This window comes from Homo sapiens, chromosome 11, assembly GCF_000001405.40.
Source record: "Homo sapiens chromosome 11, GRCh38.p14 Primary Assembly".
Lineage (NCBI taxonomy): Eukaryota > Metazoa > Chordata > Mammalia > Primates > Hominidae > Homo > Homo sapiens.
In genome coordinates, this window is record NC_000011.10 from 126,920,455 (window position 1) to 126,934,090 (window position 13,636).

At 45.3% G+C, this 13,636-nt stretch overlaps 1 protein-coding gene and 1 long non-coding RNA gene across 21 annotated transcripts in view; both read right to left on the reverse strand.

The window, feature by feature from the left end:
* The window catches only part of KIRREL3 (kirre like nephrin family adhesion molecule 3), a 580,037-nt gene that overhangs the window by 497,097 nt on the left and 69,304 nt on the right, over positions 1 to 13,636 (reverse strand). The gene's annotated exons all lie outside the window — the stretch shown is intronic.
* Positions 1 to 13,636, reverse strand: part of LOC105369559 (uncharacterized) — an 88,316-nt gene that overhangs the window by 68,132 nt on the left and 6,548 nt on the right. For 3 of the 4 annotated variants that reach the window (XR_001748435.2, XR_948149.3, XR_001748434.3), the window contains exon 2: positions 10,689 to 10,823. The exons of the other annotated variant lie outside the window; for it this stretch is intronic. This is a non-coding gene — a long non-coding RNA (uncharacterized LOC105369559). The remainder of the gene's footprint in view (positions 1 to 10,688; positions 10,824 to 13,636) is intronic. 4 annotated transcript variants of the gene reach the window in all.

Genomic DNA, 13,636 nt, shown 5'->3' on the forward strand with positions numbered 1-13,636 from the left:
TTGGGATTCCAGTTAAAGAAATCTTCATGTGAAGAGATACTACTGCTGCTCACTGTTTCTTGCCAGGTGGTGTCAGTGCTCTGTTTGCCTAAAGGATAAATTCAGACATTTGATTTTCTGCCCATAGCATCCTATTTTTCCTGATCTTACTTGGCTATTCCTCAGGATATGTTTTAAGACAGATATGTTCTTTGATCTCATTTTAAACTTCCTCTTTGGTCTCTCTACTTTCTCCCTGTCTTACAGACCCCTGGGCAATCACTTTTTTCCCCAACCAGCTCAGACTCCATGGTCCATCACTTCAACCTTGTAGTTACATCCTCGTCCTAACATCGTACCTTCCTAGAAAACCCCGCGCCTAGGTCACTTTACAATTGGCCTTCTCTGCCTGATTCCAGGATGCTGAGAGCTGCTAGACAAAATTACCTCAACACTCAGATTGGCCCCCGTGATGGTTAATGTTAGGTGTCAACTTGACTGAATTATGCGATACCCAGATAGCTGGTAGAGCATTATTTCTGGGTGTGTCTGTGTGAGTGTTTCAGGAAGAGACTGGCACTTGCATCTCTCTCGCCCCCTGTGGGCACAGACCATCAAATCAGCTAAAGGCCTGGATAGAACCACAAGGCAGGGGAAGGGCACATTCTCTCTCCCTCTCCCCTGGAGGTGGGGCACCCTTCTTCTCCTGCCCTTGGATGTCAGCACTCTAGGTTCTCCAACCTATAGACTCTGGGACTCGCACCAGGGGCTCCCCCAGATCTCAGGCCTTCAGAGAGTTACACCATTGGCTTCCCTGGTTCTGATGACCTTGGGCATGGACTGAGCCACATTGCCGGCTATCCTGGGTCTCCACCTTGCAGAAGGTTTATCATGGGACTTCTCAGCCTCCATAATTGTGTGAGCCAATTCACCTGATAAATTCCCTCATCCTGTCTTGTATCTATCTATCTATCTATCTATCTATCTATCTATCTATCTATCTATCTATCTATCTTCCTATCTATCTACCTATCTGTCCATCCATCTTCCTGTGTTCCTATCTATTATCTATCTGTAATCTATCTATCTGTCTGTCTGTCTTTCTTTTTCTTTCTATCTATATCTATCAATCTATCTATATCTGTCTTCTATCTATCTATCTATCTATCTATCTATCTATCTATCTATCTTCCTATCTATCCATCCATCTTCCTGTGTTCCTATCTATCTATTATCTATCTGTAATCTATCTATCTGTCTGTCTTTCTTTCTTTTTCTTTCTATCTATATCTATCAATCTATCTATATCTGTCTTCTATCTATCTATCTATCTATCTATCTATCTATCTATCTATCTATCTTCCTATCTATCCATCCACCTATCTTCCTGCCTTCCTATCTATTATCTATCTATCATCTATCTTTCTGTCATCCTATCTATCTATCTATCATCTATCTCCCTATCTATCTATCTATCTTCCTATCTATCTATCCATCCGCCTTCCTGTCTTCCTATCATCTGTATATCTATATCTATCTATCTATCTATCTATCTATCTATCTATCTATCTATCATCTATCTTCCTATCTATCTTCCTATCTATCTATCTTCCTATCTATCTATCCATCCATCTTCCTGTCTTCCTATCATCTATCTATATCTATCTATCGATCTATCTATCTGTCTGTCTATCTATCTATCTATCTATCTATCTATCTATCTATCTATCTATCTATCTATCTCTATCATCTTTTGGTTCTGTTCCTCCAGTGAGCCCTGGCTAACCCTAACCTGCTTGTCATGTATGATCTCCCTCCTCAACTGGCCCCTCCATGCTGCCTCCAGTCCCTGTGTGCCTCTGTGGTCAGATCATCCATTCTCCATGAAGGCTGAATCAAACCTTCTCCACTTTATAAACTTTACTACTGCATCTCCTCACCCCTACTCTCAGTAGAAGGCCTCTTCCTGCTTCTTAAACGAAACAGAAGCCGACAGATAAGTATTTCCTCCATGTCCATCTCCAAACTCATCATCGTGTGCCTGATCTGTGCCCACCCTTCCACTTTCCCTGCCCTTACATGAGAAGCATGTAACGTTCCCTCCCATACAAGGTGAATCCCTCCATCCTCCACTGGCTCTGCAGACCCCTTTCCCTCCCACTTCTAGGGACCTTGTTCTGTCAAGTTTACCATCTCCCCTTCTTCTCAGTAGGGAAAGTCTCTAAATTATGTGCAAGTCTCTCCCACCCTAAAAACAAATAAAAAGCAGCAGGAGCAGCAGCAACAACAACAACAACAACAACAACAACAACCTCCCTTCACTCCACTTTCCTCTGCAGCAACTGCCCTATTTTCTCTTATTCAATACCAAGCCCCTTGAAAGAGTTCCTTGCATTTCCCGGACTCATTTCTTACCCACTCTTCCCACAATCCGCAGTGTTCTGGCACCCATGTCTACCCTCTTCCCAGATGGTTCTTGCCGAGGTTGCGAAGGGCCTCATGACTCTGAGTCCCTGTGACCACCAGGCAGTCTTTGCATCCCTCGAGTCGGTGCCCTTGCACCAAGCATTCGTGCCCTGGCTCCCATGGCAGCATGCCCTCCTGGTTTTCCTCCTCCTTCTCTGGATGTTTCTGCTCAGCTTGCCTTGTGGATCTTCTTCTTCTTCTTCTCCTTCTCCTTCTCCTTCTCCTTCTTCTCTTCTTCTTCTTCTTCTTCTTCTTCTTCTTCTTCTTCTTCTTCTTCTCTTCTTCTTCTCTTCTTCTTCTTCTTCTTCTTCTTCTTCTTCTTCTTCTTCTTCTTCTTCTTCTTCTTCTTCTTCTTCTTCTTCTTCTTCTCCTTCTCCTTCTCCTTCTCCTTCTCCTTCTTCCTTCTCCTTCTCCTTCTTCCTTCTTCTTCTTCCTTCTCCTTCTCCTTCTTCCTTCTCCTTCTCCTTCTCCTTCTTCCTTCTTCTTCTTCCTCTTCTTTCTTCTTCTTCTTCCTTCTTCTTCTTCCTCTTCCTCTTCTTCTCCTTCTTTTTTTTTTTTTTTTGAGACAGAGTCTCGCACTATCGCCCAGGCTGGAGTGCAGTGGTATGATCTCAGCTCACTGCAATCTCCACCTCCAGGGTTCAAGTGATTCTCCTGCCTCAGCCTCCCTAGCAGCTGGGATTACAGGCACCTGCCACCACGCTCAGCTAATTTTTTGTATTTTAGTAGAGATGGGGTTTCACCATGTTGCCCAGGCTGGCCTCGAACTCTTGAGCTCAGGCAATCCACCCACCTCGGCCTCCCAAAGTGCTAGGATTACAGGCATGAGCCACCGCACCTGGCCTGCCTACTTCTTACGTGATGGTCTATCTTGAGAGTTCTGCCCAGATCCTTTTTATAACCATAGAACAGGTTTCTCTACTGAGCTCCAGCCCTATGTACCCGAATATTTACTGGACATCTCTACTTAGAGGCTTCATAAGTAATTCCAGCTCAAATGTGTCCAAAGTGAAATTCATTGGCTTTCCCCCCAAACCTTCTTTTCTTCACATGATCCTGATGTGGCTCACCCGCTTGTTTAAGCCAGAGGCTAGAGCATCATCCAAGGCTTCCCCATTTCCCTTAGCCCCTATGACCAGTCACTAACTTTTAAAAATCTTACTTCTAAATATTGTTCATCTCTCTATTCCCAGTACTCGTCATAGCGCCTTGTAGACACTTGATAAGCAGTGGTCTTATGGCTGGTAGCCCAGGCAGCTCTTGATCCTGTCCCCTGGGTTCCTTCCCCCTTTCCCTGGCTCAGGCCACCATCACCTTTGACCTGAATGCATCCACGCAACTGGTTTTCCCACCTTCAGTTTTCCCTTCTAGCTCGCTCACTCTCCACACCACAGAGAGTAATCTTTCAAAGCACAAATGAGGTCTGTCTCATTCTCTTGCTTACACCCTTCAGAAAGCTGTCTCCCAGCACCTAGCATAACACCAGGTCCTTATAAGTACTCAAAAAATATGTGTTCAATGAAAAAATAATTGGGATCTAAAATAAAGAGGATTTCCAGGCACACGGGAAGTCTAACACCCATTAATCCTGTGCCATTATTGTACTTGCCCGTTTGCAACAAGGAACATCTTTGGCTTCACACACCCGACCCACAGACTGCGCTTCAGCTGCTGCTGACTCCCTCCCAGAAGGCCCCAGAGTAGTCTTGATTTAAAGGCAGGGCTGTTGGGGGATTTGGAAGAAGTGTTAAAGAAAAAGGAGCAGCTTTGCTCTATTAAAACCCCTGCCTTTCCAAGCAAATATGGCTGCTCCTGAGCTCACCCTGGCTTCTGCCATTGCTTGGCCAAGGTGATTAACTGGATGCCTGCTGTGTGCTCATCCCTGCCCCATCAACACCCTCACCTCAACCCTCCTGGTTAGCCTCTCTGATGTTGAGAATGAAAGTTGTTATTAGCATGATTCACTCTCCAACAGCATGAATATTCGGTGTGACTGTGGCTCTGTGTATGTGTGTGTGTGTACATGCTTATGTGTGTGTGTGTGTGTTGCAGTGGAGGAGGTTGGGATAAAATTGAAAAAAAAAAAAAACAGTCCTAGGAGTTATGCCCTTAGGGCAAAGGGAAAAGGGGTGCTCACACACTTGTCCTAGAGAGAGATGTACACTTTTGCACAGCTTCCTCCTCACCATAAAAAGGTCGGGGGGGGGGGGGGGCTGTTGGTCACAGGATTGTGCAAAGCCCTGCAAGGGTTTGGCTGGTGCACCTGCTCTGCTATGTCTCCACCTGCCACACACCATTGCAACCCCCTGGTAACAGAAAGGTTCCCTTCCCTTCCCCAGGCTGTTGGTGCCGTGGGATCTAACATGCATGTGTCCTGACAGGATGAGAGAGCAGGCACACGCATGAGGCAGCCTGGTGGCAGAAGGCCCTGCTCTTTTCCAGGATGCCTGTGGTGGCGGGGGGAGCATGGCAATGAAGAAGGGATGGGACAGTGATCAGGAAAGCTTCATGGCTGTCCTATGATGACATAGGCCTGGAGACACAGAGGCTGCCTGAGGCCAGCTTGGGGGATTTACGAACTAAATGGAAGAGGCTGTCAGGTTCGAGCTGAGCTCAGTATGAGGGCTGAGCAGGAGAGCAGATGTCAGGGACTGGGAGTTTGGCCAGCCCTGCCCTCTCCTCCTTGGCAGTATGTCTTCCTGTTGTCAATGGCCACCAGCCGTCCAGCTTCATTCTCCACTGGGTCTATGACTGCCAGCATCCCGGAGCCACTTCCAGGGACTGGGTTAAGGTGAGAACGTTGTGGTCACCTCTGCTGCCTACTCCCACCCTCCCTGCTCCTGCACTTCTCTCTGGCCACAGGTGCCAGGCAGCATGGCTGCACTGCAACAGCCTCCCTACCAGCCCAGGTACCGGCCTTCTCCATCCTCTCCTGCCACCGCATGTCCCCAGGCACTCCTTCCTCCTCTATCTGTGACAGTCAGAGAACAGGGCTTTCTGCCAGGTTGACATCAACAGCAAACAGACACCCCCGGATCTGAGACATCTGTGTCCTATCCAGAAACATACCTCATCCTATGTACTGCAGTGACTCAGTCATGGGCAGAGACACCTGGCTGTCTTCCCATGATGTTCTTATATGACTCTAACCACCACGCCCCTCTGCCTCGAACCCCTTACCCACACAATCACTTTGGGCCTCAGCCCATCGCTCCAGGAGTGGAGGAGATGATTGGTAAGAAGAACGCTGGAGGTGCACACTGCCTGGCAACAAAGGACAGGTGGGTGGCAGACGAAAACTTGGGGCCTGGCACACCTGGGTTTGAACTCTGGATAGACCATCTACTTGATGTGTGACCTCTGTGCAGCGATTCAGTTCCTTCTTCTGTAAGATGGGAAAAGAGGATCTAGCCAGTGGGTTGTGAGAACGAAAGTTAACATTAAGCATTCCTAACACAGTACCCCACATTGCCACTGACTGTAGTTATGCTCATTTGAATATTTCCCTGTCATATGGTAATGAGCAGCTCTCTTTGGAGCCACGCACCTTCCTCCCTGGGCTCTGCCAAGGTAGGTCACGGCTCTGAGAGACTGCAGGAAGGCTTCTCAGAGGAGCTGGTACTATGAGGGGTGACTCGGCTGGGCTTCTGTCTCTACACACGTCCCTTGCCTTTGCAGAAGCCTCTCACCAGCACCCTTCCTGCCCCGGTGACTTGCTGCCAGAGCTCTGCCTGGAAGTGTGATGGAAGCCACCTGGCATGAGCTTGAAAGGAACTGCAAATCTCCTATGAGCATTTCCCCCCTGCTCTGTGGTTGGGATGCAGTGCACGGCCAAGCAGCATGGAAACCTCTGACGTTGGGTGGCTTCTGAATACTAAAGAGGGCGCGGAAAAAATGAAAGCAAAGGAGAAAGATGTCTTGGTCAGAAGTTTTTCTAATCGCTATGGATTTTTCCCCCATTTTAGTGGATTTGAGAGAGGGTATAGGAAAAGGAAGAGAAAAAAATCAAAAGCAGATTATTACCCCGAGCTGCTCTTCCTTTTTATCCTGAGCCATGACAGCAGCTCTCTGCCTGCCCTGTCTGCATGCTAACAGCTAAGGCATGATGCAGGCAAAATATTGGCAATCGAGCTGAGATTATAGGTTACTTGGATATTGAAAGGCAGAATCAATTAAAATAAAGCTTTCCAGTCACTGGCCAAATTAGCCTCTGGAATCAAAGCCTTTCTTTTCATTGTCCAGAAGGTTCTAAGGACAGCTGAGATGGGGTTACCCAAATGACTGAAATGAAAAGCTCCCAACTGCAGCACACGACACCTGGGGAGTAAGCACACACACACACACGCACGCACGCACATGCATACATGCACACACATACATGCACACAACACACTATGCACTTGATACACAGTGGTTACTCAATGAATATTTGTTGAGTTTATGATTTTGTGTGTGTACACACTCATACTTATGTGTCTTACCCAGTTATATATACACCATTCTATAATTATTTCAACTTTGCAATGCTAGGAGTTAACTCTGCCAGGCTTCTGTGAGTTTGTACTAGGCTTACATTTTTCTTTCTCTCTTTATTATAACAAGAATACATTATTTTAATAAATACAAAAAGGAAAGGTCTCCTTTGACCACTCTGCCTTTGGTCTACTTTTACAGAAAATGCGGACATTATGGAAAACTTTATAGAAATGTGGCTTTTTACTAAGCCATCTAACAATAGAATAGAAAAGCAACGAAGATTTCCAGTGCTTCTTCCCTCCTCCCTCTGTCTTCCACCTCCTGAATCTTCAGCAGCATGCACAGAAAAACCAAGCATAGGAATGTGCTTTGATATCCACCCGGGGCTTTCCCACATTCTCAAAATCTCAAGAGTAGCTCTTCTTAGAAGGTGTGGCCTTGGAATGTGGAGAGGCAGCACCATCCAGACAAGGCTGTCCAGGCAGGAGGTCCTGCACATCCACCTTGCAATTCACTTAGGCTTTGCCACTTTGGGGATCTACAGTTTTAAATAGCTTATGATGAAAGCTCATAACTTTTTCATTTATAAGTGGAGAATTTCAATGAGGAAACAAATAAAAAAACCAATATTTGTTGAGTGCTCCTGTGCTTCTCCAGGCTGGATGAAGGCTCCAAGATGGCGTCTCACAAGGAGTTCAGAATCTAATGTGCTCAAATCACACAAGTCATTGCCATAAGTGCTACCGTCAATGTATTTTTAAAAAGAGCCCAGAAAAGAGAGATTCACTCTGCATAGGAGCTTCACTGGCCTTGAGGATGTGCAGGAGTTTGCTAGGTAGAGAAGAGATGGGATAGATCCCACCAGTGGGAAGATCAGGAACAAAGCTCAGATATCTGGATGTGCACCCAGTGTTTAGGGAATGGTGGATGTGGGGCTAGAGCAGAGGTGGGGAAGAAATGAGGTGGAAAAGTTGACTGGGGCCAGATGTCCTTGGGCCTTGAAATCCTTCCTACTTCATCCTTTAGGCAATGGGCAGCGATTCCCGGACATAGGTCCAGAGGCTGGGATTGCCCTGATCAGGGCTGGTTTTGGAAAGACAGCTCTGAAATTAGTGTAGGGAATGAACTTGAGAAAAGAGGCCCTGCAGGCGGACACTGTCATGAGCTGGAGGCTGAAGCCTGGGACCCCGACGTGGTGGCGAAAATCAGGGAAAAGGCAGGACTGGGGCTATTTCAGAAGTGTTAGCCATGCTTGGGGGAGAGCAAGGTCTCAGTTAATGCAAAAGACCCTCACCAGCATGACTGGGTGGAAAAGGATGTTTTAATGGACATAAGGAACACAGCAGATGTAGAGTTTTATTTTTTTTCTTTTTAAAGTTGGTTTGTTTTGTTGATTGGTTTGGAGGCAGAAGAGGTCACGAAGGAGAGGGAAGAATTAAGTTAAGTTTGTGGCGCTTATGAGCTATGTGGATGGTGGTATCTAGTTTATTTCTCTGAGCTTAGGTAAAAGGTTAAGGCCAAACTATGGGCTTGGGAGCCATGAGCAAACCCATGATTGGTCAAACTATGAGAATGAATGGATGAAATAAATCAACATGGACAGAAAGAGAGAGTAAAAGAAAAGAGAGAGAAAAATCAGAGATAGAAAGACAGAGGTCAAGTTCAGATGTACATACCCCTTAGGAGCTTTTCAAGGACGTCGGCAGGGAGCTGGGTTTACAGAGTGGAGAGGACACATCTGCCAACTGTGACTGAGCGTGGTCAGAGGGAGGAGAAAAGGCACAAGAGAGCAAAACATCTTGCAAGCTAATGGAGAATAGAATTTTAAGGAGGACAGAGAGGTCAAAGTCCCCAGGAAGTCAAGTGACAAGATGTGGTCATAGTGTAGGGATGAGTCCCAGAGCCTCCTCCCAGGTCCAAAATGTAGCTAATGATCCGAATGAAATCCAGACAGGGAGTCAAGACAGGGAAGGTACAGGCTTGTGGGTGCTGAGGGTGTGGACAGGAAGAGAGGCAGGAGACTCAGAGTGAAGGGGAGAGGCCTTTTGTGTACAGAAAGAAGGAGGTCAGTTCCACAAATGCTGCCGTCTGGAATGCAGAATTTTCTGACTTGCCTAAAAAGATCGAAACAAAACCTAAGAAGCAGAAAACAAATAAAAATAAGACACCAAATACCAAAAGCCAAATAAGACCACGTAAAAGCAAACAGAGCCTCCTCAAGCCAGAGAGGCCCCTGACCCAGTTTTGCAGCAGCAAGACCCAGAGTTCCATCCAGGAAGCAGGCTGCGGCAGTGAGTCGCCCAGGCCTAGAAACCAAAAATCCAGCCTGCCTGGAGTCCTCTTGGGTATGAAAGTTCCTGGAGAATCTATTCATGGCTTCCAATTTCCATTCATCAGGCTGCACATTTGCCTAAGAGCGATTCCACGCTAAACATAACTCAGCCCAGAAAAATGCTCCTCTGCGCTCTCTTTCCACTGCTGAATTTCAGCTTGGCTTAAGTAACACCATGTGACATAACACAAAGAGGTGAAATGAGAGCTCATAATTGCATCAGAGGGCTGTGGGGGAGCCACCCCCCCCCCCCCACCTCACCGATTCCCAAGTACACTTGAGGGAGGAGGAAGGAGGGGTGTGTAATTTGTTCATTTCTTATATTTTATGGAACACTTCACTTTGCTTTCAGCATAATTATTTGTTGTACATTTTGCTGATTCCCATTTGTGTGCTTAAAAAAAAAAAACTCTTCACTCCCCCCTGCACACTTTTCTTAATGCATTAAAATTAATAACTCGTAACAGTGACCTAATTTGCTTTGAGTACTGTAACTCAGGGTTGTTGTATGCGTGTGTATTTTTTTTCTTTCCAGATCTGCTAAACCCTTGACATGTTACTGTGGTAACAGGAGCAACTTGGGAAGTTCATGAATGAACCTCATTGTGTTCTCCCAAGAAAGCCCTCTCTCCCACCATTCTTTGCGATGTTTGGAGCTCACCCTTGCCTGTTGTGCCTATATTCAAAGCATTGGAATTGGGCTGCTCCAGGCTGTCTCCAAATCCATGCTCAATCCCCATCATCTCACTGCCCTACTGCGGAGGTAGCTGCCAGTCTGCCCTTAACTTTCCTAAATGCTCCAGGGCTCTGCATCAGGAGGGTTCTCCTTCTCTAAGAAAATATACTTTCTTGGTTTAAATCTTCTGCCCTTCCCTGCCATGTCTGTCTGGGCCCTCAGCTAAGGAAGCCTGCTGAAGATAGGAAGTAGGTCACTGGATTGCTTCATCCCCTGACTACCACCTCAATCCAAGCCACCAGCTTCTTCCCTAATTGTCTCACTGCATTCTATCTGCTCCCCCAACCCCCTCCATATCCAGTGCAGTTAGAGGGGTCTTACTAAATCAGGTATCTGGTTGTGTTACTGTCCTGCTCAGTGATCCCAGGATTGTGTCCCTACCCCTGCACACAGCTGACCAGGCTCTTCAGAGTCTGCAGACATAGAGCTGTACTTGCCCCAAGGTCCATTGCCTCCTCTGTACATGTTCCTCCTAGCTATCCTGAACGACCTGGATTTGCCAGGCTATGGCACAGTCATTTTTCTGCATGCTTTCACATTCGGTTCCCTCTGCCAGAATTCCCCTATCCATCTCCCACTCTCACACAGGACGAGTGTAGACAGCACCTTCTCTCAGAAAGCTTTGGGCAGTTGGATACCCTACCTGTGAGTTCCCACAGGCCTCTATGCTCATCTCAGCATGGAACTTATGTGCACTACCTGTGTTTGTCTGCTGGTCTTGCTGGCTTCCCCAGTAAGCTCTTTGAGGGAAAGTCCTGTTTCTTGGACACTGTTGTTTCTTGGACACTGTTGTTATCTCCAGAACCTATCGCAGTGTCTGGCACATAGGATGTACTGAAATCAAGATTGAATGAATGAATGAATGGATAGACTGGAATCTATTACCTGCCTTTCCTCCCTCCCTCCATACATTCCTTCTTTCCTTCCTTCCTCCCTACCCCACCCTACTTTCCTGTCAATCACTCCACAAGCATTCACTGCTGGTTATGTGAAAGGGAAGGAGGATATAAAGACGGATTTTATTGTCTTCCAGGAACCCATAGCATTGTGGCATCCAGACTTTGAGACAATCTTAAATACGTTCTTCTGAAGGCTCCCTTAAGTAAGCCCTCTTGGCTAGTCATTCTAGAGAATGAAGCTGTTTTATGTCCAAATCTACTTTCTAGTAGCAAGTATAAGAATGAGGATTCCAAGTCCTAGTTGTCTAAATAATTTAAATATGGAATAGTGGCAGATACCCATATTCATTCTTCCTTACAGCATTCTGGGGAAGATTATCACCAGTTTACAGACAGTAGCAATGAGGCCAGAAAGGTGGACTCAATCCCCTTATGGCAAAGAGAAAAGATGGTGACAAATGATGCTAGTAACTGAGGGCTGCCAGCACCCAGGGAGCCCCAGGACACGTGTTGCCTTCTCACCCCAATAGGAGTAGATGGACGAGGCATACTCGTACCAAGGAGGGCATAAGGATTTTATTTCCACAGCTACCTGGAGAAGAAAATTCATCATCACCCTCAGCAGACAGCAAGAAAAGAAGAGAAAGAATAAGAATGTATCAAGGAGGCTTGGTATTGATTTTGAAATCCTGGCTGACAAGACAATGATTTGAGTCCATTTCCATTTTGTGGCTGAAGCCTGGTGCATTCTTTGCCTCTGCCTGACCTCCCAGAGCAGAGTTCATCAAGAATCCCCTCTGCTGACACTCCTATCCTGATTCTCAAACAGCCTCTCGCCTGTTTGTCTCCGACAAGAAAGGACATGCACGTGAAAGGAGCAGTGTGGCTTCCTGTGTCTCCTCTGGAAGAGGAGGGCCCTATTTCAAGGCTGATTTCAAATAGTACATTTTAAAAGTCTGCTTAGCCTCACACACATATGAGCATCAACATTAGTGTCTTTACGGAGGTTTTCGGCCCGCACAGAAAGGGCAAAGCTCAATGCATTCAACCCAACAAGCAGCAGGTTCCCGTCTTGGACACCGAAAGTGGGGGGTCCTATTTCAAGACTGATTTCAAATAGCACATTTTGAAATTCTGCTTAACCTCACACAGATATGACCATCAACATTAGTATCGTTATGAAGGTTTTCGGCCCATACAGAAAGGGCAAGTCTCAATGCATTGAACCCAATAAGCAGCAGGTCCCTGTCTTGGACGGTCCCTGCTACAGCCACCCCCAGCAGGCTCTTCAGGCCAGGAAATGTGCTTCTGCTGTGAGTCCCAGCTCTTCGCATGGCCAGAATCCTAAGTAAGGGCAAAAGGCCTATGTATTTAATTTACTTGTAAGTGAACAGCTTCTATGTGTTAGAAAAAAATAAACTCAACCTACAAAATTGTAATTGCTTGAGATTTCACCTCCTGGCCACGTTTCTCTTCCTATGGAGTTATTAAAACCCACACAATATGATCTAATAATTTATTAATAATCAACATAAATAGATAACAGCTCACATAGCCATAATAGCCAATGCATGTTAAATAATGAGGGATTATTTAAAAGACACTTCGCTGGAGAGAAGGAGACATGGTAGTTAGAATCTGCAATTACTGCTGCAGTTGCAGATAAGCATGTACACAAGGCCTTCTTGGCTGTTCAACTGGCTACCTTGTGCCCCTGTTACTCCATCTGCATTTGGAAGGGGTGGGGTATCAGCCAGTCCCTGCTTAACAGAAAAAGACGTCCAAATTAATTGGAAGGGAACAAACCATTTCTTCACAGGACAAAGGAAAAATGCTGTGCAATTCAATTTCTCTGAAAGGAGCTCAACAATACTCCATCTCCTGTCCCACTATCAAAGTCCCTATCATCAAACCTGGGCATGTCTTTCTCATGGCAGTTTCTTTATCCTTACTCCTTGAAAAATAAGTGAGTGAGCCTAAGTTCATTGCAGCCTAATGAGGGACTCCCTGGTCCCTTCTGTCATTCTAGTCCCTATTTGTAAGCCCTTCCTCCTTCAAGTCATCACGTTATCTGCCTTAGGGGAACCTCCTTTATACTCTTTGCATGTTTTAAAGAATTTCAAATTCAATATCAGATGCTTGGCAACTAGATTGGAAGGAAAGCAGAAGGAAAACTGTCTTTATTTGTAGATTATTTCATATGTAAAAAAATCCCAAAGAATCTACAAAAAAATCACTAGAACTAATAAATGAAGTCAGCAAGTTCACAAGATCAATACACAAAATTAATTTGGTTTCTACACACAAGAAATCATCCAAAAATGGAATTAAGATATCAATTCCATTTACAATAGCATAAATAGCATTAAAATAATCAAATTCTAGAAAGGAGTTTAACAAAAGAAGTGAAATACTTGTACAATTCCCACCAAAAAGGAAAAAAAAAAACCAAAAACATGGAGAGAAATTAAAGAAGTTCTAAATAAATGGAGAGACATTCCATTTTAATGGTTAAAAAATGTTAAGATGACAATTCTTCCCAAATCATCTTTAGGTTAAACACAATTTCTATTAAAATCTCAACAGGCTTTTTTCTCCCCTAAAATTGACAATCAAGTTCTAAGATTTACATGGAAATGCAAAGGATCTGGAAAAGACAAAAAAAAAAAAAAATGCAAAAGAACAAAGTTGGAGCATTTAAATTTCCTGGTTTTAAAACATACTACAAAGTTACAGTAATCCACACAG